Below are 26,722 nucleotides of genomic sequence, written 5' to 3' on the forward strand. Positions count from 1 at the left end.
GCATCTACCATAATAAAGAAAAGACACCTAAATAGAATGACTGCTTCATAGCAAGTATACATACAGTAAAGGTCAGCTAATACTGTTGTTGGTTTTATTTTTGCTGTTATTATTTATCTTTGTCCTACTCATCCAGTGGATTATAAACGACTAAGGGGAAGGTATCATGTCTTCACCTTCATTTATAACTCATCAAGTCTAGAGTTCCCTGCACATCCTTTACCATCTTTGAAGGTAAATGACTGATCAACCAGCAGCCTCCCTCTCCATCATAGTAGCTTCAGGGCAAAGCCAAACAGAATTGACTCAGCCTTAAAATGTCAAATGAATCATGATGCCAAAATGATTTATATCCACCTTAGAATACTGTTAATTCAGGCCACCTCAGCTGGCTTGCCTTTGACCTCCTGGGAGTCTGAGATTACATTTATTAACCTGAGATGGGAACTGGTCTTAAGAGTTCTCAGTAACCTATTAGGGTAAGAAGAACTTCGAAACCTAGGGTGGGTCACAGCCTTCTCCCTGACAATGAGGCCTGACCCAGGAACTCCACAGAAAGGTTTTTGGGGGAATCATTTGGGCATGGGGCCTGGGATGCGGAAGGGGAAGTTGGGAGGGAGGACTGATCTGAAGAACATGTGGGCGTACGAAGTCTCCCTACATTGATCACAACTCTTGAGTTACATATTTGTACCAATGTGGGAAGTTCAACCAAAAAGGAAGATTTCTCTGGAGATCCCCATGCATATGCCAGCGTCACTCATATTTTTTGTTCTTAAGCTTTCCCTGCCCGTAGAAGCTTTAATCTGTAACTTCTTCCTGTTTGCTTGTTTCTCAGGATTATACCTCCTTCTACCCTAGAGGGAGTGATGAGTCCTTCCTCGTTCACAGTCACTCAAACGAGGAAGCAAGCTTCAGTGCATTTTCTGGAAGAAGCATCTTTTAAATTCATCTTTGAGGATGAGACATTTCTCACTGTCATTTATCAGTGTCGACATCTAAGATTGACTGAGCCAGGTGAATTTGTTCCTTGTAGTGCACAGAAAATAAATCTGAGGGGTAACAATCCTTATGTTGCCAGGACTATCCCCAAAATTATGCTCACCCCATAGGTAGGTTTCCTGCCACAGTCTTACAAAGTTAACCGCCCTGGAATTCATTAAAATATTTAAACGCTTTGCTGAAAAGGGCAAGTGATGGGCCTCAGGCTGACACAACAAAAGGGGTTGTTTGGAAGTGAATATTCCAGATTCTTCCTTCGCAGAAGATCTGAAGTGTTAATCTTATCACAGGAAGGATGCAGAGAACTTGAAGGAACTTCATAGCCTGATTATTTGGCTCAGGAGAAGCAACACTTCAGCCAAAATTTTATATTCCATCGCTACTCTTCATGGAGCATGAGTTTCCAAAGTCAAACTGCATGAGATCCAGCAGAGATTAATTAACTACCCACCAGGCGAAGCAGCCTACAGGTCTGCATCCAAACTGCATTGTTGCATATCTTTTTCTCCCTAGCCTAAGTAAGAAGTCTTCATATAAAACTCAATTAATTAGATTTGAATTTTTAGTTAAAATAATTTCAATTGAACAACTTAGTGAAGAAACAAGCAAAGTGTACATTTCAACAAATGATCTTAAATTAAAAAAAGGAAAAGTTACACACACCAAATATAGATACATATATTTACCCTCAATAGTAATCAAGGAATGCACATATGATATGGTATTTTCTTAACTATCAAATATAAAAAAAAAAATCTACTATTGGCCAAAGTATGGGAAAGTAGGCATTTTCATTTACTGCTTTTGGGAATGTAAGTTGGTATAAGCTTTTGGGAAGAGAATTAGTGTTACCAAACTGAATTTGGGTCCACCCACCCAGTGCAGCAAAGCAAGCACTGATATTGGGATTGCAGTGAGAGAAAGTGAGGCACTTATTGCCGGGCACCAGCAAGGAGAATCAGGTAGCTCGTGCTTAACACCTGAGTCCCCATGGCTTATAGGTAAGGGTTTTTAAAGGCAGAAGTTATAAATCATAAATCAATTCATGGAGGCTATACATTGGTTTGATCTAAAAAGCTGGGACATCTTGAAATGGGGGCTTACAGGTCATAGGTGAATTTAAAGATTTTCTGATTTGCAACTGGTTAAGAAAGCAAAGCTTTGTCTAAAAATTTGAGATCAGCAGAAAAGAATGTTAGCTCAGCCAGGCACAGCAACTCACGCCTGTAATCCCAGCACTTTGGGAGGCTGAAGCGGGCAGATCACTTGAGGACAGGCGTTTGAGACCAACCTAGCTAACATGCTGAAATCCCATCTCTACTACAAAATATTAATACAAAAAAAATTAGCCAGGCATGGTGGCATGTGCCTGTAATCCTTGCTACTCCAGTGGCTGAGGCACAGGAATCACTTGAATCTGGGAGACGGAGGTTGCAGTGAGCCAAGATCACATCACTGCACTCCAGCCTGGGCAACAGAGTGAGACTCTGTTTATTAAAAAAAAAAAAAAAAAAAAAAAAGAATGTTAGCTCTGGCTCTCATGGGCATGACCTCCTCCAGACCCCTTATGAACAAATTTAGACAAAGAATAGTGGGCAGTCAGAGATCACTCCTGGTTCCCCCTTATCTATGGTCTATGTGCCAGCAAACCCATTTGATGGGGGTCTGGGTTTTTTAAAAAACAATTCAGGGATATATGTTAAGATGTTGTCTTTAGTTTCCATAGAAAACCAAACATCTTGTGACTCTAACTTCCTTGGCTATTGCTTTAAGCTACTATTACCTTCTTGCTTATCAAGTTGTTCCTTTACTTCTCAGGGCTAGCTGTAATTTCCCTTTAAGGAACTCAAGATTTTCCTTTATTTCCATGTTTGTGGGGGTTGTCCAACAGATCCCTAGGAGGGGTCCATGCTCCGTCTCATTTGCAACATTCCAGAAGCCTTAAAATATATCTATTATTTGGCCTAGCAATTCCTCTTTCAGGAATTTATCCTAAGAAACGATTTTTTAAATTAAACATTATATATAAAGATATTAAGCAGTATTTATAACAGTAAAAATGGAGCCAACCAGAATGTTCAATAACAAGACACTGATTAAAATAACTAATGGAACATTATGATGAAATTCTATCATTAAAAAATAATACTGAAAGCAATTTGTTACTGGTAATGATGTAATACCTTGAATCAACTAATCATTGTACCAAAAACAATTAGAAACTCTGAGGCAAAATGTTGTTTCAAAAGATTGCTGTTTGAAGTCTTGTCCAGCATGTAAGGAGCTCAGAAGTTATCACTCCCATTCTCACACAAGAAAAAGTCTGACCAAACTGTAAATCAACAACTCTTTCCATATCCACCAGGAAATTGAAGTCACTGATTCCCCGCAAAATTGAAAAGACAGACAGGTAGATACATAGAATCAGAACTCAATGAAGCAGAAGCCAGGAAACAGAAGTCTCCATGGGAACCAGTACTGAAGAAAGAAATTCTAAAATGTAATTGACAAATTGCTGGAGGCTCAGTGTGGACAAATCTGAGAGTTAAAAACTCTGGGAGGTAAGTGCAGACAGTCTTAGTGGGGGTCACTGCAGTTGTGTGCATTTTATCTCCTGGAGCCCTACTAGGATCTCACAATGAACATTAGAGAAAAATTCAATCCCCTCATGTTTTTGGCAGAGGGTAGGGGGGAAAGTAGCCCCCTTTTATTGAAATATGCTCAGGGCACTCTGTTATTCTTAATAAGGCCTGCCCTCAACAAAAATTATTTTACCAGAGCCTAGCCAACAGAAGTTCCACTGAAACCTAACCAACCAATGGGGGGAAAAATACCCAACTTCAGCCAGCTCTAGACTTACATGAGGTAGAAGAGAAATACCCAACTGTAGCTCACTTTAGCCTTCCTGCCTCACCTAAAGGAAGGGCCACAAAACTAAGAAGCACCTGTGAAGGTTACAGCTCAGGGGCACATGCTCACTGAAAAATTAAAACCTAATCATAGGAATATGGAAAACTACCCCTAGATTTTTTTCATATTCAAAACAAAGACAAAGAGAAAACCTTGAAAGAAGCTGAGGAGGAGGAGGTGGACACCTTGCAAGCAGGAAGACAGTGGGGTAAAATATTTGAAGTAGTAAGAAAAAAAAAGAAAACCACCAACCTAAAATTCTATGTCCAGCAAAATTATCCTTCAAAAGTGAAAGAGAAATAAAGACTTTCCCAGACAAAAAAAATTCAGAAAATTTCTCACCAGTAAACCTGCTTTGCACGAAATGTTTAAAAAAATTCTACAGAGAGAAGAAAATTAATATAGGTCATAAACTTAAATCTACATAAATAATGGAAAAGTGGAAGAGAATAAACAAATAAAGGTAAGATAAAAATCTTTTTCTTTGTTATTCTTAGTTGATCTAGCAGATAAAATTCATTGAAAATAATAATAGCAACAAATATATTCAGTGATGATAGCTTACGGATAAGTGAAATGAATGAGAGCAATGTCAATATGAGATGAAAAGGAGGATGTGAGAATGCTCTGTTATGAGGTACTTGCACTACACTTGACATGGCATTGTTATATGAAAGAGGACTTTGATTAATTGTAAATGTATATTGCAAACTCAAGAGCATTCACTAAAAAACATTTTTTTAAATATAATTGGAAGAGAAGAGAAATAGAATCACATGAAATGTTTAATAAAAATGAGGGAAGACAGAAAAGGAGAAGATTTAACAAAAATGTCAAGAGAAATAACTAGAAAACAACAACAGACATGATATATATTAATCAAACTATATCAATAATCACTTTAAACGTCAATGATCTGGATAAACCAATTAAAAGACAGAAGTTGCCAGAGTGAAACACAAAACAAGACCCAAATATTTATGTGGTCTATGAGAAACTCACTTTAAATGTAAAGACACCGATCAAAGGTAAAGAAACGGAGAAAGGCATAGCATGCTAATAGTATTCAAAAGAAGGATGGAGTACTTACTATATTAATTTCAGATAGAGAAGACTTCAGAGCAAGGGAAATTATCAGAGATAAAGAGAGGCATTATATTAATGATTAAATGGTCAATTATCCAAGAAAACATAATAATCTTCAATGCATGCACCTAAGAACAGAGAATCAAAATGTGTGAGGCAAAAACCCATAGAACTGCAAGGAGAAATAGATGAAACCATTATTCTAGTTGGACTTCAACACCCCATTATTGGAAATTTATAGATTCAGCAGGCAGAAAATCAGTAAGGACATAACTGAACTCAGTAGCATCATCAATCAACTAAATATGATTGACACCTACACAAAACTTCATCTAACAACAGAATACACCTTCTTCTGAAGCTCACAAAAAACAGTCATCAAGGAAAGCCACATTCTGAGCCATAAAACACACTCTCACAAATTTAAAAGAATAAAAATTACGCAAAGAATGCCCTCAGACCACAAACTTTGGAAAATCCCAAAGCACTTTGTAATGAAACAATATACTTCCAAATAACACATGCACCAAAGGAGAGTATCAAAATAAATTTGAAAATAGTTTGAAGTAAATAAAAATGAAAATACAACTTATCAAAATTAGGGCAAATGCAGTGAAAGCATGGCTTAGAGAAATGTATAGCATCAAATGCATATATTAAAAAAGAAAGATTTAAAACATCTAAAATCAATCATCTAAACTTCCACCTTACAAAACTGGAAAAGCAAGTAAATGTACTTCATAAAATAATAAAGAATATAAATGCAAAAAAGAAACTAGAAAAAAGAGACTAGAAAAAAGAGCCTATTAAATTCAAAGTAAGCAAGAAAAAAATAAAAATTAGAGCAGAAGTCTATGAAATTGAAAACAAGAAGTCGTTAGAAAAAATCACCAAAACCAAAACACTTTCCTTGAATGTATCAATTATATTGATAAGCTTCTAGCCAGGTTTGCTAAGAAAAAAAAGAGCAGGCACAAATAACTAATTTCAAAGTTGAAAGAGGAGCCATCACTACAGATCTTCTGGACATTAAGATAATAAATATTTTTAACAACTCTATGCTGACAGATTTAGTAACCTCAGTGAGGTGAACCTTGAAAGCCAAATCTACCAAAACTCACACAATGATAAGTAGATAATCTGAATAGGCACATATCTATTAAAAAGTAGAATTAATAACTAATAATCCTTCAAAACAGAAATTACCAGACCCAGATGAGTACCCTGGTGAATTTTATCAAACATTTAATGATAATAATTAAGGAAGAAATTACATCAATTCTCTACAATCACCTCCAGAACATAGAAGCAGAGGAAATACTTGCTAATTCATTCTATGAGGTTAGTACTACGCCTAATACCAAAACTGAAGACATTACAAGAAAGAAAAACTATAAACCAATATCTCTTATGAGCATAAATGCAAAAATCCTCAACAAAATTTTAGCATATTGAATCCAACAATGTATACAAATAATTATATACAATGACCAAGTGGGATTTATTTCAGATATGCAAGGCTGGCTCCTCATTCCAAGGTCAGTTGATGCGATCTGTCACATCATTAGTCTGAAGAACAATAATCACATAATCATATAAATACATGCAGAAAAAGCATTTGACAATATCCAACTCCCATTCATCATAAAAACTCTCAACAAACTAGAAGTAGATAAAAACTCCCTCAACTTGATAAAGAACATCCATAAGAAAACTACAAATAACATCATACTTAATGGTGAGAAATAGATGCTTTTCTAAGATCAAGAACAAGGCAAGAATGTCCACTCTCACCTAGTCAATATCAAAATAAAGACTGGGTGCAGTGGCTCACACCTGTAATCCCAGCACTTTGGAAGGCTGAAGCAGGAGGATTGCTTGAGGCCAGGACTTCAAGACCAGCCTGGGCAACATAGCAAGACCTCATCTCCACAAAAAATTTTTAAAATTAGCCAGGCATGGTGGTGCATGCCTGCAATCTTAGCTACTTAGGAGGCTGAGGCAAGAGGATCACCTGAACCCGGGATGCTGAGGTTACAGTGAACTATGATCATGCCACTGCACTCCGGCCTGGGTGATAGATCAAGAGCCTATCTTCCACGCAAAAAAAAATAAATAAATAAAAAATAAATAAAAAAATAAAAATCCTAGCTAATTCAAGAAGACTAGGAAAATAAATAAAAGACATTTACTTCCCAATATATGACATATTGGTAAGTAAGAAATAAAACCATCTTTGTTCACAGATGACATGATCATCTATATAGAAAATCTCCAAACCAAAAAAACTCATGGAACTAATAAGTGATTACAGCAAAGTTGCAAGATACAAAGTTAATATGCAAAAGTCTATTGCTTTCTTATATACTAGCAAATGTGAATAAAGTATGGACATTAGTTAAAAATAATAACATACACAGCCGGTCGCAGTGGCTCATGCCTGTAATCCCAGCACTTTAGGAGGCCAAGGCAGGTGGATCACCTGAGGTCAGGAGATCGAGACCAGCCTGACCAACATGAAGAACCCTCGTCTATACTAAAAATACAAAATTAGCTGGGTGTGGTGGCATATGCCTATAATCCCAGCTACTTGGGAGGCTGAGGCAGGAGAATTTCTTGAACCTGGGAGGCGGAGGTTGCTGTGAGCTGAGATCGCGCCACTGCACTCCAGCCTGGGTAACAAGAGTGAAACTATGTCTCAAAAATAAACAAATAAATAATAATGTACATATATTGATTCATTAGTTGTGACAAAGGTACCATAGGAAAGTAAGTTCTTTACAATAGAGGAAACTGGGTACAAGAGTATATGGGTATTCTCTGTTACATCCTTGCAACTTTCATATAAATCTAAAGCTATCCTTTCCAATTCATTGTATGAAGCTAGGATAAGCCTAATCCCAAAACCTGAAAAGGACATTACAGAAAAGAAAATTTACAGGCGAATCCCATTCATTATCCATAGAAATGTATATATCTAAGGATAATAGAAAAATGATAAAATACAATCCCAGAAATGCAAGACTGGTTCAACAATCGAAAATCAATGTAGTTATTCACTACATTAACAGAATAAAGGAGGAAATTATATGATTATCTCAATCAGTCCAGAAAAAGCACTTGACAAAATCCAACATTCATTCCTAATAAAAACTGTCAGCAAACTGAGAGCAGGAGGAAATTTCTTATTCTGATCAAGGGCATCTATGAAAAACTCACAGCCAAAATCATAGTTACTGATTAAATATTGAATGTTTCTTTTACGGTTGGGAATAAGTACAGAATAAATTTAAAGATTCATAAGCTGCTTGTGTTTTAAAAAGGATCTGTGTATCCCACCCAAAAAAGTTTCATTAATTTATTAATTTATTAATTGAATTGAATAACATTTATTGTGCACTTACTAGGTGCAAAACAGCTGTGAGGTGTTGGGGATTTTTTTTAAAGGATAAAAAGCAGTCTGCTTGTCAAGGAACTTTTAAATAAATTTAAAAATAAGACAGATAATTATTAAAAGTAACTAAAGTACACTTTAATATATGCTTGAGGGCCAAATGAAGCAACAGATGATTAACAGCTCAAGCTTTTGGAATCCAGATTGTGGAGGTCAAGGACTGGCCTATTTAGGAGTTTAGATTTTATTCCATAGGCTGTGGGGCTTTCTTAGCCCATGTTTTAGGCCTTTGAGCAGAGAAATGGTATAATAAAAAGATTCCACAGTCAGCATCACCAACATCACATTTTAAAAATATGTCACTATATCTGGGACTCTGAGCCTTCACTTTCATTTTATTACAAAGCAAGAGATGACCAGAGAAGTTAACTGATTTTCTCAAAGCTAGGGAGAAAATCAATGGGAATGGAGAATAGGAAGTTAGTGTAAAGATGAAACAGAATCCAGATTTCCTTCAATGATGGGGCTTCTACTGTTCCAGCTGTTGTTTGGGTATCTTGAAGGGTGAAGGACTGGGAACAGAAGTCACCTTTCACTTCTGATAGCTCAGTAAATCAAAAATATCTAGCGCTGAAAGTTTGTCTTCAGATAATGGTAACTAGGGAAGTAGCGAAACACTAGGAGAAGGGGGGAAAGAGTTAAAATTGGCTGCAAAGAACAGATGGTCTTCTCTGCTGCACTCCCACCTTCCTTTCTCTCTTTCCTACACTCACCGCCCACCTATCCAATTGTGCACTTGCTTGTGAGCGCGCACACACACTCACACTGTACTCTTCACAAGTTCCCCGCTACCTGTCAGTACTGACAGTTAATTCATGGATACAGAAATCTGTCTCTTTCCCATCGTCAGTGGTTAATTGAAAAGGCATCCACTAGCATGAGTATAAGATGCAGAAATTCATAATTATCTGAGAAAAAGCAAATGAGGTGCTGATAGCAAGCTGGTCAGATGGAGCCATGATAAAGCGGGGACCTCCAAGGCTCTCAGCAGACAGGCTCGAGAACCATGATACTCACCCTCCAAGGTGAATAATCCTTGGAGATTCATCTGGAAAATAAAATGCCTGACTGTTAGCAGGCTCTTGATTCATGCATGAGTCTCTACTCCTTTAACCCAGTGAAGAGAAGACACATGCAGGACTGGAGAAGTCTGGGGGTGAGTCTACACAGAGGCTCAGAAAGTTAGCCCCAGAGGAAAACAATCAAAGGATCTTCACCAACTGACCAATCCATCCAGTTTGCCTTGGGCTGTACCAATTTTAGCAATGAAAGTCACACGTCCTGTGAAACCTCTTAGACTCAGGCAAACCCGGAACATTGATCTTCCTAGCTTGGGCTGGTTCTGTCACACTAAGAGCTGGAGGTCAAGATATTAGGCAACAGGCCAGCCCCAGTACATACATACTGTAGAGCCCCAGAGCCCCAGAACTTATCCATCTACATGAGTCAGGGGAAGAAAAGACTACACCCTTCCTCCAGGGCCCACTGCAATGGGAGAAGTTTCTGGAATACTACTACTACTGAAGTATTACATTAGGTGACGGGTTTTTTTTTCTTTTCAGTAGTTCAGAAGTTCTGAGGGTCTTGTGGTTTTTTCTCATCATCATCCTCCCCTGGTTCTTCTGTTTCATTTGAAGAGGAGATGATATGATTGAATGGAACACAAGGAAGTAAAGTGATCTTCCTCGTTTGTTTTTCAAAAAGCTGATGCCTCAGAGGAAAAAGAAAGCAAAGCCCTGTACCCTGACTCGAGCTGAGTCTCAGGGGGGCAGCCAGATGCCAGAGAGAAAATGACTATATAGGTTACCTAGACCAACAAGAGCACAGACAGCCTGTCAGAGACCTCCATGCTTTAACCTGGCTCACAAGTAGAGCCACCAGAACCAAAGTAGCTGTGGTGACAGAGACAGAGACAGTCTTCATGAACAGATGACCAAGAACCAGACAAGAAGTGGATACTCCAGAGGACACCTGCAGAGGCAAGACATCAGGGACCACAGCGCTGCCCACCCCCTCTCATATGGTCCCCATGTAAGCCCCTGGAACTGGGTACCATCCCAAAGGTAATAGCAACCCCAAAAGTAATTGACTAAAATTACATTTCTGCCACTCTGTCACAATGGAGGTCTGAAACAGTTGTTACGTTATAGAGAAAGACAGTTTCATTCTTTGCATAACTGAGTCTATAAACTCAGATTCACCCTCTACGCAGCATTCCTTGGTGTGAAAAAAACACAGGATTCAGAATCTGAGACTTGGCTTTGAGTTCTGACTCTATCACTCTAAAGTTTTGTGAATTATTGGGAAATGCTCTCTCACAGCTCAGAAGACTTCTCTGCTTCATTTTCTCTCATTCCACTCTCCATGAAGAGGAAGAACAGCTGTTATGACCCCCTACACCCTCCAACAGCTGTTACATCTTCCCTCAAACTTCTGAAGACCAAACAATGCTGCTCTTTAAAAACCACCCTTCACCACCAAGCTTGCATTTGTCCAGTGCATTCAAGGGTGACAAACTCAATGGACACTGGCATCCCTGCTCTAAAACTTGACCCAGAACACTTTCATGTCCAGGAAGATTTTTTTTTATTCTAGAGAATCTATGCAGTGTACATAGCCAACTTCCATGTGCAACCTGCTCCTGTGCTCTTGAACTGGAAAACATCTTGGAGTTTCCAAATCTCTCAGTGCTGCCCATGCTGAGCTCCTCCTGATGACAAAACAAGGGAATCACTTTCCTTTAAGGTTTTGTTTTTTGGTTTTTTGGTCTTTCATTGTTGTTGTTGTTGTTGTTATTTAGATAGCATCTATCTCTGTTGCCCAGGCTGGAGGGCAGTGGCATGATCTCAGTTCACTGCAACCTCTGCCTCCTGGGTTCAAGCAATTCTCCTGCCCCAGCCTCCTGAGTAGCTGGGATTACAGGTGCATGCTACCACGCCCGGCTAATTTTTGTATTCTTTAGTAGAGACAGGATTTCGCCATGTTGGCCAGGCTGGTCTTGAACTCTTGACCTCAAGTGATCCACCCGCCTCAGCCTCCCAAAGTGCTGGGATTACAGGTGTGACCCACCGTGCCCAGCCTTTTCCTTTAAGTTTTCCCTCTGGATAGGTGTGTACCCACCTGTGGTGGTGTGACTTTAGTCAGGATTTCCTAATTCAGGTTCCAGAGCACTGGTTCTGCTGGGATAATACATGTTATGGAAAAAGTTGAGCTTGACATAGTCAGACTGGCTTGGGAAATTCTGGTATAAGTAAAATCAAAGGGGTTTCTTTACTCCAGGAGAACCTTGAACATGCTAACGTATGCTGTTTTCTTCAAAGAAGGGTGATATGGTTTGGCTCTGTGACCCCACCCAAATCTCACCTTGAATTGTAATAATCCCCATGTATCAAGGGTGGGACCAGGTAGAGATAATTGAATCATGGTGGCAGTTTTCCCAATGCTGTTCTCATGATAGTGAGTGAGTTCTCATGAGATCTGATGGTTTTATAAGGGGCTTCCTCTTTGCTCGGCAGTCATTGTCTTCCCTGCCACCTTGTGAAGAGGCGCCTTCCACCATGATTGTAAGTTTCCTGAGGCCTTCCTAGCCATGCAGAACTGTGAGTCAATTAAACCTCTTTCCTTATAAATTACCTAGTCTTGGATATTTCTTCATAGCAGCATGAGAACGGACTAATACAGAGGGAATATGGAATGCAGCGTGTCCCAAACTTCTGAGACCCAGACTGACATGGAGCACCTGCTTTCTCAGACTATTATGAATGGGCTGGATTCCCGTGACAGTGATCACACCTACTGTTTCCCCGTGATTGACTAGGGTGGCCCATCCTGAGAGAACAGGGCTCCTTAGGACTCTTTCCTCTCAAACAGCACCAACTACTATCCAATATGCTTTTCTGAGACTCAGTAGACACTTAAATATGGCTAAAGCTATCTGCTTTGAGATAATGAAAATAGCTGATGCTCTCTGAGCCATGTTCTGCCACATTCTACCATCTATGGCTGTGACTGACAACGTTGGCTGTATATTATGACAATCCACATTAGCTTTCTAGGGCTGCTGTCACAAAATACCAGGAACTGGGTGGCTAAAAACAAGAGAAATGTATTTTCTCACAGCTCTGGAGGCCTGAAGTCCAAAATCAAGGTGTCCTTCTGAAAGGTTCTGCAGGAAAGCTCATTCCCTGCCTCTCTCCTAGCTCCTGGGAGTTGTTGGTAATTTCTGGCATTCCTTGGCTTATAGATGCATCGTTCCAATCTTTGCCTCCTCTGTTGCACAGCATTCTCCTTGTGTCTCTTCACATTGTTTTGTCTCTGTACCTGTCTGTTTTGTGTCTCTTCTCCTCTCCTAATAGGGACACCAGTCCTATTGGATTAAAGGCCCACCCTATTCCAATATGACCTCATCTTAACTAACTACACCCACAATGAATCTATTTCCAAATAAAACCACATTCTGAAGTTCCAGAAAGGACATGAACTTGGTGGGGGAGATCACAGTGGGGGCAATTAAACATAGCACATCACTTAAGGAGTTTTTATTTATTTATTTATTTAGACGGAGTTTTGCTCTTGTTGCCCAGGCTAAAGTGCAATGGCATGATCTCGGCTCACCACAACCTCTGCCTCCCGAGTTCAAGCAACTTTCCTGTCTCAGCCTCCCGCGTAGCTAGGATTACAGGCATGCTCCACCACGCCCAGCTAATTTTTGTATTTTTAGTAGAGATGGGGTTTCTCCATGTTGGTCAGGCTGGTCTCAAACTCCCAACCTCAGGTAATCCACCCGCCTCAGCTTCCCAAAGTGCTGGGATTACAGGCGTGAACCACCGCGCCTGGCCCACTTAAGGAGTTTTTAGAACTCACACGCCAGGACAGTTGTAATGATCCCAGAATCTGGCAATGGGACCCAGTCATCAGTGTTCCTTAAAGATCTCTGAGTAATTCTAATGTGCAGTCAAGTTGAAATGACTGTGCTATGGACTTTATATAAATATTGTCCCATATAGTCCTCATAATAAACCCAAGAGGTGCTATTCATATCCTTATATTATGGATCAGACGTCTGAGACTTAAAGAGGTTAAAATAACTTGACTGTCGCTACACAGGCAGTAAGTGATCGAGCTGGGATTTCTGGAGGCATTTAGCTCCAGAGCCGGATCATATAAGCCTTTCAGACTCAGAGCTGAGCTTTTAGTAGCCTCTGAGCTCTGAGAGAAGGCACCACAGCCCCCTCTGCAACTGAGGAGTTACACTGGCCTCTGCATGCGGCTTTCTTTAGGAAGCATTCCCCTTTCTGGCTTTGATCCTAGCCCCACTCTTCCCTCTCCAGTCCCAGCAAAACCCCTCCATCTGGCACCACTCTGGGAAGTGGGAAGACAAAAGTTTCTCTAAATCGCCACTTCCAGCCTGCCATGCGACTGCAGCTTTTAATAGTAACTACTGCGCTCTGATGAAAAAGATTGTTGTTTCCGTAACGGGAAAAGTAGCTCCAATCCAAGGACGCTGCCATAGCCCTGACCAATGAATGTGGAAGAGCCCTGAACAGGGCTAACTAAAAGGCCTCTCAGTAAGCGGTTGTCAAGCCTTAGGGTGCCTCTCTGGACAGTTCCCGGTACTGCACCACTGCCCAGAGACCAAGCCAGGCCCGCTCCCAGCTCTGCAGACCCTGCCACTTTTGAATGGGTCAGGCAGATCAAACTTGCTATTTACAGAGGCCAGAGTGGTACCACCTAGGGGATGTCATCTGTAACTTTATTTTTATCTCTGATGATGGCTTTAAAATACATTCATAGAGAAACTGGATCACTGGTATATTGTTGATGCAAGTGTAAAATGGTACAGCCACTCTGGGGAAAGCTTGGCAGCATCTTAAAAAAATAAACTTACAACTATTATACCTCTTAGCCATTACACGCCCCCTGGGCATTTATTCCCAGAGAAATGTAGATGAGCTCACACAAAAACATGAACACAAACATTCACAGCTGCTTTACTCATAATAGCAAAAAAAAAAAAAAAAAAAAAAAAAAAAAAAAAAAGGAAATAGCCCAGTCCTTAAATGGGTGAATGGTTAAACAAACTGGCTTATCCATACCATGGAATACTACTGAATAATAAAAAAGAAAATGGACCAGCTACTGTGGCTCATGCCTGTAATCCCAGCACTTTGGCAAGCCAAGGCAGGAGGATTGCTTGAGCCCAGGAGTTCAAGACCAGCCTGGGCAACATAAGAAACCCCGACTACTACAAAAAACAAAATTTAGCAGGCATGGTGGTATGTGCCTGTAAGTCCAACTACCTGGAGGCTGAGGCTGGAGGATTGCTTGAGCCCAGGAGATCAAGGCTGCAGTCAGCCATGATCATGTCACTGCACGCCACTGGGTGACAAAAGGAGACTCTGTCTCAAACAAACAAACAAACAAACAAACATACAAAAAACTATTAATACACACAACAACTTGGATGAATCTCCAGAATTAGGCTGAGTAGAAAGAAAAAGGTTAATCCTCCAAAATTATATACCATACATATACTTCCATTTATATAGAATTATTAAGAAGGCAACATTATAGAAATGGAGAGGAGATTAGTGGTTGCCAATGGTTAAGGAGGGAGGGGGCTGTGGTTAAAAAGGTCAGCAGGAGGGACCCTTGTGTTAATGGAGTGTTCTGCATCTTGACTGTATTGATGTCGACATCCTGGTTGTGATAACATGCCATCATTTTGCAAGATATTACTCTTGGGGAAACACACAGGGTCTCCCTATATGATTTCTTACAATTGCATGGAAATCTATGATTATCTTGAAATAAAAGTTTTGATTTTTTTTAAGTTTGAAAAATGTATTCAATGAGGAAATGTTCACCTTTTGGCTAGATTAAAACGCTGGTAGGTCCCAAGATTTTCCCACTTTAGTCCTAGAGTCATTATTTCAGGAGACAGAGCCTCGATTTAATCATTAGAATGCCCACTCCTATGTATTAATAACAATCAAGTCTCCAAAACTAATTTAGAGCTGAATATTCTCTCTTTCCTCAGGTAGGGCCAGTTGACGATGGCCACTTTACACTCAGGTGGGAGGTGTGTTCAGCCACACCTTTCACTCACCTCCTCCTCTTTGCAAATGGGAAAAAGGACAGGGGAAAAAAAATGCAGAAAGTTCACACTTGATGGGATGGTTTTCTGAAGGTTCCTCCTCTTTCTCAATGGTGTTTTCATCTGTTCTTCGGAGACCTCCCTACTGGGCCCTTCAGACAGCTGCTCCCATGACCGGCGAGATGACACTGTTTGTCTTTGTTCCTGGCAGACTCCAAGGGGGCAGGCCCCTCCCAAACAGAAGCAGTCCTCCTGCCTCTACCACCAAAGCAGTGAGCCTGTTTCTCACCCTTCCGATATCCTGGGGAAGTCACAACAGGTCCTCATTGAAGGGTATGCCTTCCTTGTAATCCTGGCAGAAACCCTCACAGGCTTGAAGTGATGGGTAGACAGCCCTGACAGGGACTCAGCACAGCTTTCCCTGAAGAAAATCTCCTCACAAGATGTTCTCTGTATTAGTCCATTCTCACACAGCTATAAAGAACTACGTGAGACTGGGTAATTTATGAAGAAAAGAGGTTTAATCAACTCACAATTCTGCAGGCTGCCCAGAAGCATGGCTGGGAAGGCCTTAGGAAACTTACAATTATGGCAGAAGGCAAAGGGGAAGCAGGCACATATTCACATGGTGACAGGAAAGAAAGAGTGAAGGGGGAGGTGCTACATACTTTAAACAACCAGATCTCATGAGAACTCAACTACCATGAGAACAGCAAGGGGGAAATTCACCTCCATGATCAAATCACCTCTCACCAGGCCCCTCCTCCAACACTGAAGATCACAATTCAACATGAGATTTGGGTGGGGACACAGAGACAAACCATATCATCTTCACACTCTCAACTTTCTGTCCTTTTTATTCTGTCTTTTTATGGGCTTCAGAATCAACTATCCAGTGTTCAGTCACTTCCTTTGAAAGGCTACTACATCATGGTGACTTGATCCAAACATCGAAGTTAACATTCCATCACCTAAACTATACTGAAGGCTGGAGGGAGGGGAAGCCAACAGAGGAGAGGTCAGAAGAGAAGGAAATCTATAATGGTCAGAAGAGGAAATTAATAGACATGGTCTAAGATTGATAAATCAAGAAATCATCATAGATGAAGGTGAATGCCAAGAAAAACAAGCCCCAGAGATGAAAGCAACTGTCTCTGAAGTGAAACTGGAGGCTGGAAGGGGAAGGGAGGGAACTGAAGTTTTTCATCCTAAGCTTTTTAATTCTATGACTGTTTTCCTCCATATGTGTGTGTGACTTTGAGACACATTATTTACTTTTAAAATTGGAGACAAAAAGATGTGCCACATAGGTGATGAAAGGAGAATATGTCTACAAAGCAATCCCTGTCAAAAATATGCATTCTTAGGAACACCACAGTCTCATGGCTCATGTTAGAGCCATTTCTAATTGCTTTCCTTCTCTCCCACAGTTGCTCCCTGAGAAGGTAACTGAGAGAAAGCCCAGTATCTCACAAACCTTCACTTTCTTTCCCTATTTCAGCTACAAATTTCTTGTATTAATTTCTTGTGACTGCTGTAACAAATTACCACAAACCGGGCACTTCAGACAACAGAAATTTATTTCCTCACAGTTCTGGGGATGGAAAGTTCAAAATCAAGGTATCAGCAGGGTCACACTCCCTCGGGAGGCGCTAGCCTCCTTCCTTGCCTCTTCCAGCTTCTGGGGGCTCCAAGCATCCCTTAGCTTGTGGCCACCTCACTCCAATCTCTGTGACCACACTGTCTCCCCCTTGTCTGTCTCAAAACTCCTTCTGTCTCTCTTTTAGAGGGATACTTGTGATGGCATTTAGGGCCAACCCAGATAATCGAGGATAATCTCTTCATCTCAGAACCCTTAACTTAATCATATCTGCAAAGTCCCCTTTTGCCATTTAAAGTACCATTCATCGGTTCCAAGGATTAGAACTTATACATATCATTTTGGAGGCCACTATTCACCCCCAGGACATTATCCCTACATCATTTCATGCCTGTGCCTCTGCTCTCCTGGGCTCCAATTTATACTATACCACGGCTGGAAGAATCCCATGTCCACGTCATTTTCACCACACCCCTCCACTCTCAAAACCTCGACCAGGATTCCTCTTGCCATTGAATCAGAGCCGGCTGCAACTGGAAGGGGCCTGAGAGACCTCCTCATCCCTCTTCTAACCAATGAGGAACTGAGGCCAGGGGGCTTACCAGGTCACATAGCTCACCAGTAACAGCTTAGAGCATCTCTTGATTTCTAAGCAAAAACTAGTCCCACAAAACCATGCCCGTTACTCACAGTGGTCCCCTCCTATCTCGCCAACCCTATTTCCTTCACAGCCAGCCTCAGCTCCTGTCAGCTAATCCATCTGCTCCTGTTCCTTTTGATTTGTATAGGTACAAATAACCTTGCCTGCAAGTCTAATCCCAAAATCACCTCTTTTAGGAAGTCTTTTCTGGTTAAAAATGTCTAATTATAATCACTTCTTTGTTCTGTGGTCCCTCAGAAATCCTGTAGTAAGTTGGGGCTATATTAGTTGCACTCACTTATTTGTGGCCTTCAAACATTCTAATTTTTGGGTTCTAGCTACAGGTTTAATCCCAAATTTTTCACACCTTTGATATCCTTCTCCACACTACTCAGCCCATAATCTAACACACTGCATTCCCTCTCTTTCTCCCTCTCCCTCAGACACACACACACACACAAATACGCATGCACACGCGCAAGTTGCTACTGTCACTTCTTAAAAGTTGACTAGGCCAGGCCCAGTGGCTCATGCCTGTAATCACAGCACTTTGGGAGGCCGAGGTAGGTGGATCACTCGAGGTCAGGAGTTCTAGACCATCCAGCCTGGCCAACATGGTGAAACCCCATCTCTACTAAAAATGCAAAAATTAGCCGGGTGTGGTGGCGCATGCCTGTAATCCCAGCTACTTGAGGCAGGAGAATCGCTTGAACCCAGGAGGCAGAGGTTGCAGCAAGCCGAGATCGCGCCATTGCACTCCAGCCTGGGCAACAAGAGTGAAACTCCATCTTAAAAAAAATAAATAAATAAGTTGTTGACTAAGGGATCACATCCTGTGAACTACAGCCAGGTGTGTCTGGACAGAGAACGTGTGGCAAAGCCTCACATATTATTGATTTAATGAAAGTAAAATTGTATTGAGAATTGTTCATGTGTTTTTCTTCTGGATTTCTGAGTATGTCGCCATCACCCCACATTGCCAAAGGCACCCAGAAACTCCCATCTGTTAGAAAAGGAGGATTTTTACCAAAAGAATGCAGAAAGAACAGCAAGAGTAATTTTCAATTTACTGCGTTCAGAAACTGGCTTAAACAGCAAAGCATTCACCCTGAAGCCAGGGTATTGACCTGAAAACAGTTTTTCCCACTTCTACCTTCACTCCCTCAAGACACACCCACCCTGCTTTAAATCATTAAGGACCAAGGCTAGATGACACTAATGCATAAAAATACCACTGCCACTTAGAATATATGCACTCTCCACCAGGGCAGGAAGGCCAGAATGTTTGCCACTCCTGTAGAAGAAGGACACTATTACACAGGAGGGTAAAAGAAAGACCCATCCTTTTCCAGCCTGAAGGATGGTGGAAAAGCTGAAGAGAGGAGAGCAAGGCTCTTCGAGGCATGTCCCCATGTCCCCTGTCTGTGTTTGGCATGGAATAAGTGAACCTAAGAGAGTAGGAGGAGGCACAGCCTCTGCTCCCTGCATGGACTTCTGCAAAAAGAACTCTCTCTGACTGCCTTACACCAGCCTAGAGCCAGGCCGCATCGAGTTGGCAAGGCAGCAGGAGGGACAGAGGGAGGCTCTGAGGTTTCACTTTGCCAAAGCCACCTTCTGACTGCTGGGCACTGATGGTGAGAGCCAGGGGCCTGCTGGGATGGGCAGTGGCCATAGGGTCTGGAGGTCAGCCAGAGGAGAAGCCCCTGACCAGGCCCAAGTGACACCAGCCATGGTCTTGGGGCAGGAACCAGTACAAAGAGACATGGACCTGAAGCCACAGTCCCCACACGAGAGGACACTCCTCCCCTCCACATGAAGTCCAGGAGCCACAGCCCTCACTCCCTTCCAAACCAGTTGTCTCCATACTCTAGATGCCATTTTAGGAAAAGAAGCAGTCACAGAGTGGAGGTAATCTAAGAGTGAAACCATTTTTTCCTAAAAAGACTGAGCATCCCTCGAAGACCCTGTCTAAATGATCAGGTCAGACATTCACTCAAACCAAACTAGAAATTTAGCTTTTTATTTTCACTGGTGGTAGGGGTGGGAGTGGGGATGGGGATGGGAAATCATAAATTAAACTAAAGTGGCAATTAAAAAAATATAGAAATGACATTTTCTCTTTGTGGCCAAGCTGCAGCAGAAGTTAAATTTTTCGAAGCTGTTATAACCAGCATGCCCTTCCTTGGAAGGCCAAAGCTCTGGATTAATGTCAGGATTTGTAAAATACCCAGATAGCAATGAGGACAGAAATCCTTCCCCTGAACTACAGAGAAGTGAATTACCTAGCAATGTGTTACTGATTTATCATACCAGCTGTATGTAAATTAAATTTGAAAACTCAAACTGATTTCATTTCCAGTCCCTAAGTATCCAGGTGGCTTGCTGCATTAATTAGAATTGACATGGAGGTTAATAATTTTGCTCTCTGACTTCCACCTCTTTAAAACCTGATACCTTGATATTCCTGCCGATAAACGTGTGGGGTGAGGAGTGCAGGAGTGCATCAGCAAGCAGGGGTCCAATGCATAACCCGAGAGATGAATTTTTCACAACACTGTCCCCTCACACCTGAGCAGGGTACACTTTCACGTTGCAGCCAGTGGCAGGCTCACTGGAGTGATGAATGAGGTGAAATCAATGGAACTCCACTATACGCACAGGGGGTTTCTCTCTCCTCAGCACCCTGTGACCCGCCCCCAGCACAAGCTTCACCCTGGGACAGAGCCACCAGCCATTCATCCCGCAGAAGACCAGGCACAGCAAAGCTGCAGCCACAGCTCACAGCTATCCCAGGATGGGGTTAGTTGCTTTGCAATGGGACAGAGGGTAAAAAGAAGGCTTGGGCACTAACTATCAGGGGTTCTGCTGACTTCAGACACTTGATAGACAGATGGATCACTGACTTATTCAATTCCTAGGAAAAGAAAATGGTCAGACCCCTCATCAGAGAGTGCCTGGCATACTAAGCTCTGGCTAGGAGCTGTTACCCAGGTGCTCTCCAAAGCTGAACATATGGGGTTAATTGCATGATTTTTTTTTCAGATCCTCTGAGAGTGCAGGCAGAACTGTGTTTGTCAAGGGGTTTGAAGGTGAGGTTCCAGAAACCATCTGTGAAAATTAGGTGAGAAAACATCTCCTTCCTTCATCAGCTGCCTGGTGCTATAGAATCCACTTCCAAATATTGTCTTTTGGACAAAGTACCAAACATGTAACTGAAACTCCATTCTAAGACCATAAATATTTTGCAGATACCTACGTGGATCTGGATACAAATGCTACTGCTGGTGAGAACAGAGCTATGGCATGCCTATTTCACAGTCTCTGACTTAGCCCAAGTTCTAAGAGTTGACTCTAACAGTCTTGAAAACTACCTCAGGATATATTTTTTCCCTTGAAACAATGCTGTAAATGGTGGCCAGAATCTCAAATACATATCCAATTGTCCATAGCATTGAGGAGGCATCTTTGACAAGGTGAGAATTTTACTTGATCGTAAAAACATCTCTGTTGGAGTCTCAGCCAAGACCTTTTCTAACTACATTACCTTGGATAAGTCACTTCTCTGAATCAAAATGAGAGTCATGTTAATACTCAACAGGTCTACTTCAATTCAATGAACCATATGTCAGGAATTACAGGAGGAGCTGCAGGTTCTAAGTTTGAAGAGTATCTTTCCCCAGGCCTGGGAATCCAGCAGCCCTGGCTGTCTGTTGCTGGGTACCCTCAAGCAAGTTTCTCCACCTTAAAATTCAGTAACAATGAGAGGCAGGATCACCCAAGAAGGCTCTAGAGTCAGACAATTTTGGATAAATTCCAACTGCACCATTTACTAAGTATCAACTTTAAGTACATTAAGCTCCTTCATTTTCTGTAAGGAAAGGTATATTATAATGGCAGTTTTATAAGATTGCTATGAATATTGAGAATATGCATGTAAATTTCTTGGCACACTACCTGGAATGAAGGACTCATTTCAGTTATTTTGTTGTCAGTGTTGTTGCTGTTAATAAAAAAGAAGTTTATGATGAGGAGAATAGTTCACTGTCACCATAAACAATACTTAGTAGGTGCTAAATAATTGCTACTTTTCTTTCCCCAGCCCTGAATCTTCAAAGGGCAAGGAATACAGATCCTAAAAGAGAGAATTAAAATAAAATGTGGTAAGGACAAGCATCGGCCTTAAAAGTGCTATGGGACACAGGGAAGGAATGGTCCTACCTGAGAAAGATTGGGAGGCTTCAGGAAGGAGGTGGCATTGAACTGAGAAGTCTGACCAGGATCAGAGAGAGTGGGGTCATTCAGACAAAAGAAGAGTTTGAGCAAAGGCTTGGAGTTTGAGTTGTGTGCAGTATGGTGAGAGGAATAATGAAAAATTTGGTAGAATTAGAACACAAGGCAGGCACTGAGGTGAAAAATCTGAGGAGGAATCATTACTAGAAGTTAAAAAGGCAAAAACAGATTGGAATCAGATTGCAATGGACTTTGCATTCCATGCTAAGAATTTGGGCTTCCTTTTGGGCCAGTATTTCCCAAAACGGAGCCCCTGGATTATCTACATAGGGGCTGAGGGAGAAAACTTTCCTTTTGCCCTCTGAAGGTTCACTGAAAATCAAATGACAAAACGCAGATTAATAGGAGAAAAAATAGAGAGTCATAGAAAACATGAACTCAGAGAGGGGCCAGATGGTTGATGCTTACAACTCTCTTCACAGGGGAGAGGTGCATAGGTCCAAGAGGCAAGAGGCAGCCAGCAGAGGAAGGGCAGAGCTACACAGGAACAAAAGTTGTGTTATGATGCAAATAAAGTCCCCCAAACAATCTCCTGGAGTCGCCCTCAGAAGAATAGATAAAAATTCTGTCCGTGGACAGGACAACTCCCAGTCTCTTCTCTTTTCTGGTGGTTGATCTTTCCTGGTTACTTGATGAGCTATCTAAGGAGGGCATTTAAGACAATTGCATTTCTTTTGGAAAGAAGCTGATATAGTTTGGATGTTTGTCCCCACCCAAATCTCATGTTGAATTGTCAACTTCTGTCAGCTTTGTGGAAGATGCCTGCACAGGGGTAGGGCCTGGAGGCAGGAAGAGAAGCAGAGGGAAGCAGACCAGAACGGAACTGCAGCAGAGAGTCGGAGCGGGGAGGCAGGCCAAAATGAAGGCATTCCAATCTAACAGCGGTCCTGGGCTAAGGTCACCTTAGTCAGGTCAACATGCCAGGGATATGTGGATGGAAGAAGAGTCCTGGAAATTTTTCATTCTTTCTGGAGGAACTGAGAAAGCGAATGAGTATGGCAAGACATTAAACAAGTGTCGTAGGACTTTTCCCTTAGTTCAGCTAAGGATGAGGTCCTTGTCGCATGGCCATGAAATATTAGGCTCACAGATACTTTGAAGGATGATAAAAATGGTACTTATTGGACAAAAAGGAGAAAAAAAAAAAAAGGGAAAACAGGGACTCTCCACAAAGCCAGAGTCCTGATAGTGTGCTTCCTGCCTCACAGATTAAATTCCAGGTTCCACCCAGGAAGAGGAAGGGCCAAGCTCCTCCCCACTGCAAATGGCGCAGACTTCTGCGACTGCAACGCAGTGCGCGGGCTGGCTGGAGTTTCCCTGGGGACCCCTTTCCACTTGGCTGTCTCACATGCATAAGTAATTGAGACAAAACCAGTACCCCTTCTTAGGGGCCTGCTGGGCCTCCAAGCATGAAAATAAAAGAAAATCTTGAGTTCCTTCAAGGGAAATTCCAGGCACCTAGCTGGCCTTGAGAACTAAATAAGCAACTGGATAAGCAAGAAGGTAACAGTAGCTTAAAACAATACCCAAGGAAGCTAGAATCACGGGAGGTTTGATTCTCTATGGAAACTAAAGATAACATCTTAATATATATCCCCGAATTGTTTTTCGGAAACCCAGACCCCCAGCAAGGAGATCTGCTGGCAAGTAGACCTCAGATAATGGGGAACTAAAAAGTAAACTTTGACCACAGTTCTTGGTTCAAAATCTCTTCCTGAGGGGCCTGGAGAAAGTCACACCCAGGAGCCAGAGCTAACATTCTTTTCTGTTGACCCCAAATTTTTAAACAAATCTTCTCTTCCTTAACCAAATCAGAATCTTTGAAATCTATCTATGATCTATAAGCTCTCCTGCTCAAGATAACCGGCCCTTTTAGGCCAAAACCAATATATAACCTCCGTGTATTGATTTATGACTTTGCCTGTAACTTCTGCTTTTCTGAAATTTAGCCCTGCCTTTAAAATCCCTTATCTGCAAGCTATCAGCGAGGTCAGGACTTAGGCATTAGCTGCCTGGTCCTCCTTGCTTGGCAACTGGCAACTAAATGCTTCACTTTTTCTTGCTGCAATCCCGATGTCAGTGTTTGGCCTTGCTGCACCGGGTGAGCGGACACCTGGTTCGGCTCTATAACACAATCCATGAAGAGATTTGTAAGGGTAGTTAAGAATCTTATTAGAACCATTGCTTCCTGGGAAGTCACATGTGGACAGGTGACAGATATGATCTTCCTTTGAGAGGTGGAAGCTGCCAATTGTTGTAAATGACAAAGCTTTGGTTCCTTTACTTGGCCTACAGAGAATCCATTAGAAATCTCACCAGCAAGCCTGTCAGACTGAACAGCAGAGGAAAATCAATGTGTCCCTCACCTTATAAAGGAAGAAAAAAAAATGAGAGAAGAGCACGGCCCTAAGGCAGAAAAAGACTACTTTACTAAAAATATGACACACCCTGAGAACAGCCAGGCATTTCTATAAGAAAAACAATAAAGAAAAGCATCCTCTTCCTAAGATAAAGTAGGCTAAAGACAAAGCTAGATAGGGCAGGGCAAAAGAACAAAGCAACCGTCTTTTATTTCGTCTTCCATTCTTCTTGAATTCTCCTGACCACTTTTTCCAGCCACCCAGCCATGTGTATGTATTTCATTAGAATATGAATGAGAAGCCCTTTGGGAGAATTGTATGCTGCCATGGCAACAGTCACCATGGCAACTGTTAATTAATTGGATGATGATGAAGTGGAGGAAGAAAAAAAGCCAACCAGAACGGATACAACTCTAGAGGAAGTCATGGTGTGTAGTAATTATATGAATTTCATTCAGCAAAGGCATGCAGCAGGTCAGAAATGCAAATATCTCCCCCGCAGCCACCGCCTACTCAGAGAGGCCTGCATTTGGATTAAACAAATGTGAATGAGTGGCTCAGGCCTCCTCGATTCAAAAACACACATATGGCTGCCCCAACATAGGCAGATTCTCCAGGGAGATAAAACCTCATTCTAATACGGGGAGTTGCCCGATTCTACTGAGAGTGGCCAAGATCCATTGTGTGCCTGCCCCCATTATAGCAAATGGTACCACCCAGGGAGGAAAACAGCGTGAGATCCTGCAGAGTTGTTCAAATAGGAAGTGTCTTCTGATTGAAGGCAGGAAAGCTTGGTTTGCCACCACTGACTCAAGATGACACAGTAGCTTGTATACACATAGATGGTTCAAAGTTCAAAAAGAACCTGGGGCTGGGGAGGTGAGATGGGATACAAATCAGAGAGGACCCTAAAGAAGCCCTCACAGGTCAGCTTTCTGTTAAGATAGACAGAGATAAAACAATTGCAGAGGTATTTTTCTACAATATTGTCCTCCCCCAACTACGCTACCTCAATTCCCTCTCCCCTCTTATTCAAATTATATTCAGACCCCAGGGAAATGGGGGTTTGATTTCTTGAATGTTTCCTGGCAGAGAAAGTATTTAGGAAATGTTTAGATGGTGTTAAGAAGCCATCCCACCACACTCCTCCTTCCTGGCTCTGGCCAAAAAACCTTGGCAAGAAGTACCCTAAGGTAGTAGCTTTTGTACCTGCAGGCAAGCTCAGGTCCCCAGCTTTGCTGGCCTTGCTCTGACCCTCCCCTTATGACTATTGTAAATAAAGATGTTGGAAGTGTGTGGAGATGGGATTCTGAGAGCAACTCCTAAAGCTACAAATTCAGCCACCATCTGGCGTAGGTGGACAATGGAATTCTGCCTCATGGAGCAACGCCACTTTCTTGTCTTGACAATAATCTGAAAAATCCAAGCTCCTCTCACAATCATATTAGTGCTCAAAAGGTGCTACAAATGATTGTTTTATCAATATCATTATTATCCAAAAGCATCTTATCACATGGAGGCACTGGATGAGTAAGGTACAAACATGTACCTTACTTGTGCTTTCCAAAATTTTACAAAATGACCTAATGAACACTTTCTATTCATAAAGAGGTTTTCCAAAAAAAGGAAAAAGGGAAAAAAGAAGACACCTAATCTCTCTAAGCCTCCCCCTTGGAGACACTTACATGGAAATTCTAAGTCACCAAAGTGCATTCAAATTTCCCTTCTCGGTATCAGCACCCCATCACAATATGCACAAAAGCTAATATGTTCAATATGAACCTAGAACAAAGCGCACATCTGGTCATCTCACAGAGGAGAAGCACCTTTTCATTTACTCAGTCAGCCATTCCAAGAGAATCAATTTCCTCCTTTTTTTTTTTTTCCAGATAGCCAATTACTGTTTTCGCAGATAGAACCAAAGACAGAGTGGAGGAAGGAAAAAAGAAGAAAGGCACACATGAATCAGTAGATCTGTTTCCAATAATAACCCATGCCATCTGGTCTGACTTTCCTGTCTTCCTGACAAATACCCAACGCACCTACAAAAAGGAGCACAAAGAGCAGATTCCTATGTGATAATATGCATAGTGTACATAACTCGTGGCTTAAATGATTGACTGAAAAAGTCATTTTGCTCCATGATAAAGGAAACCATAAATGCCCCCCTTGACCTCTGAAATATTTAAAATTACTGTGAAGATTACCTCACTCTTGTTTGAGAAATCATTAAGGGTTCACCATGCAATTTGCAGAATGTCAGGGTTTCTAAGTGGTAATAAAA

The 26,722-nt window shown here is 41.6% G+C and overlaps 1 long non-coding RNA gene across 2 annotated transcripts, besides 1 other annotated feature; it reads left to right on the forward strand.

The window, feature by feature from the left end:
* Positions 1 to 1,231: 1,231 nt before the first annotated feature.
* Positions 1,232 to 21,252, forward strand: LOC105379354 (uncharacterized). 2 transcript variants are annotated; one of them, XR_949629.1, is made up of 4 exons: positions 1,232 to 1,472; positions 20,468 to 20,587; positions 20,831 to 20,909; positions 21,037 to 21,252. It is a non-coding gene; the product is annotated as an uncharacterized LOC105379354 (long non-coding RNA). The 2 variants fall into 2 exon arrangements; XR_949630.2 differs by lacking the exon at positions 1,232 to 1,472 and adding an exon at positions 3,238 to 3,563.
* Positions 24,519 to 25,489: an enhancer, noted in NCBI's record as "NANOG hESC enhancer chr8:29743170-29744140 (GRCh37/hg19 assembly coordinates)". NCBI's record gives its function as "activates a minimal SCP1, AML or CMV promoter by ChIP-STARR-seq in primed H9 embryonic stem cells {active_cell/tissue: H9 hESC(primed)}" and the evidence as "EXISTENCE:reporter gene assay evidence [ECO:0000049][PMID:30033119]".

Source organism: Homo sapiens, chromosome 8 (genome assembly GCF_000001405.40).
Source record: "Homo sapiens chromosome 8, GRCh38.p14 Primary Assembly".
Classification (NCBI taxonomy): domain Eukaryota; kingdom Metazoa; phylum Chordata; class Mammalia; order Primates; family Hominidae; genus Homo; species Homo sapiens.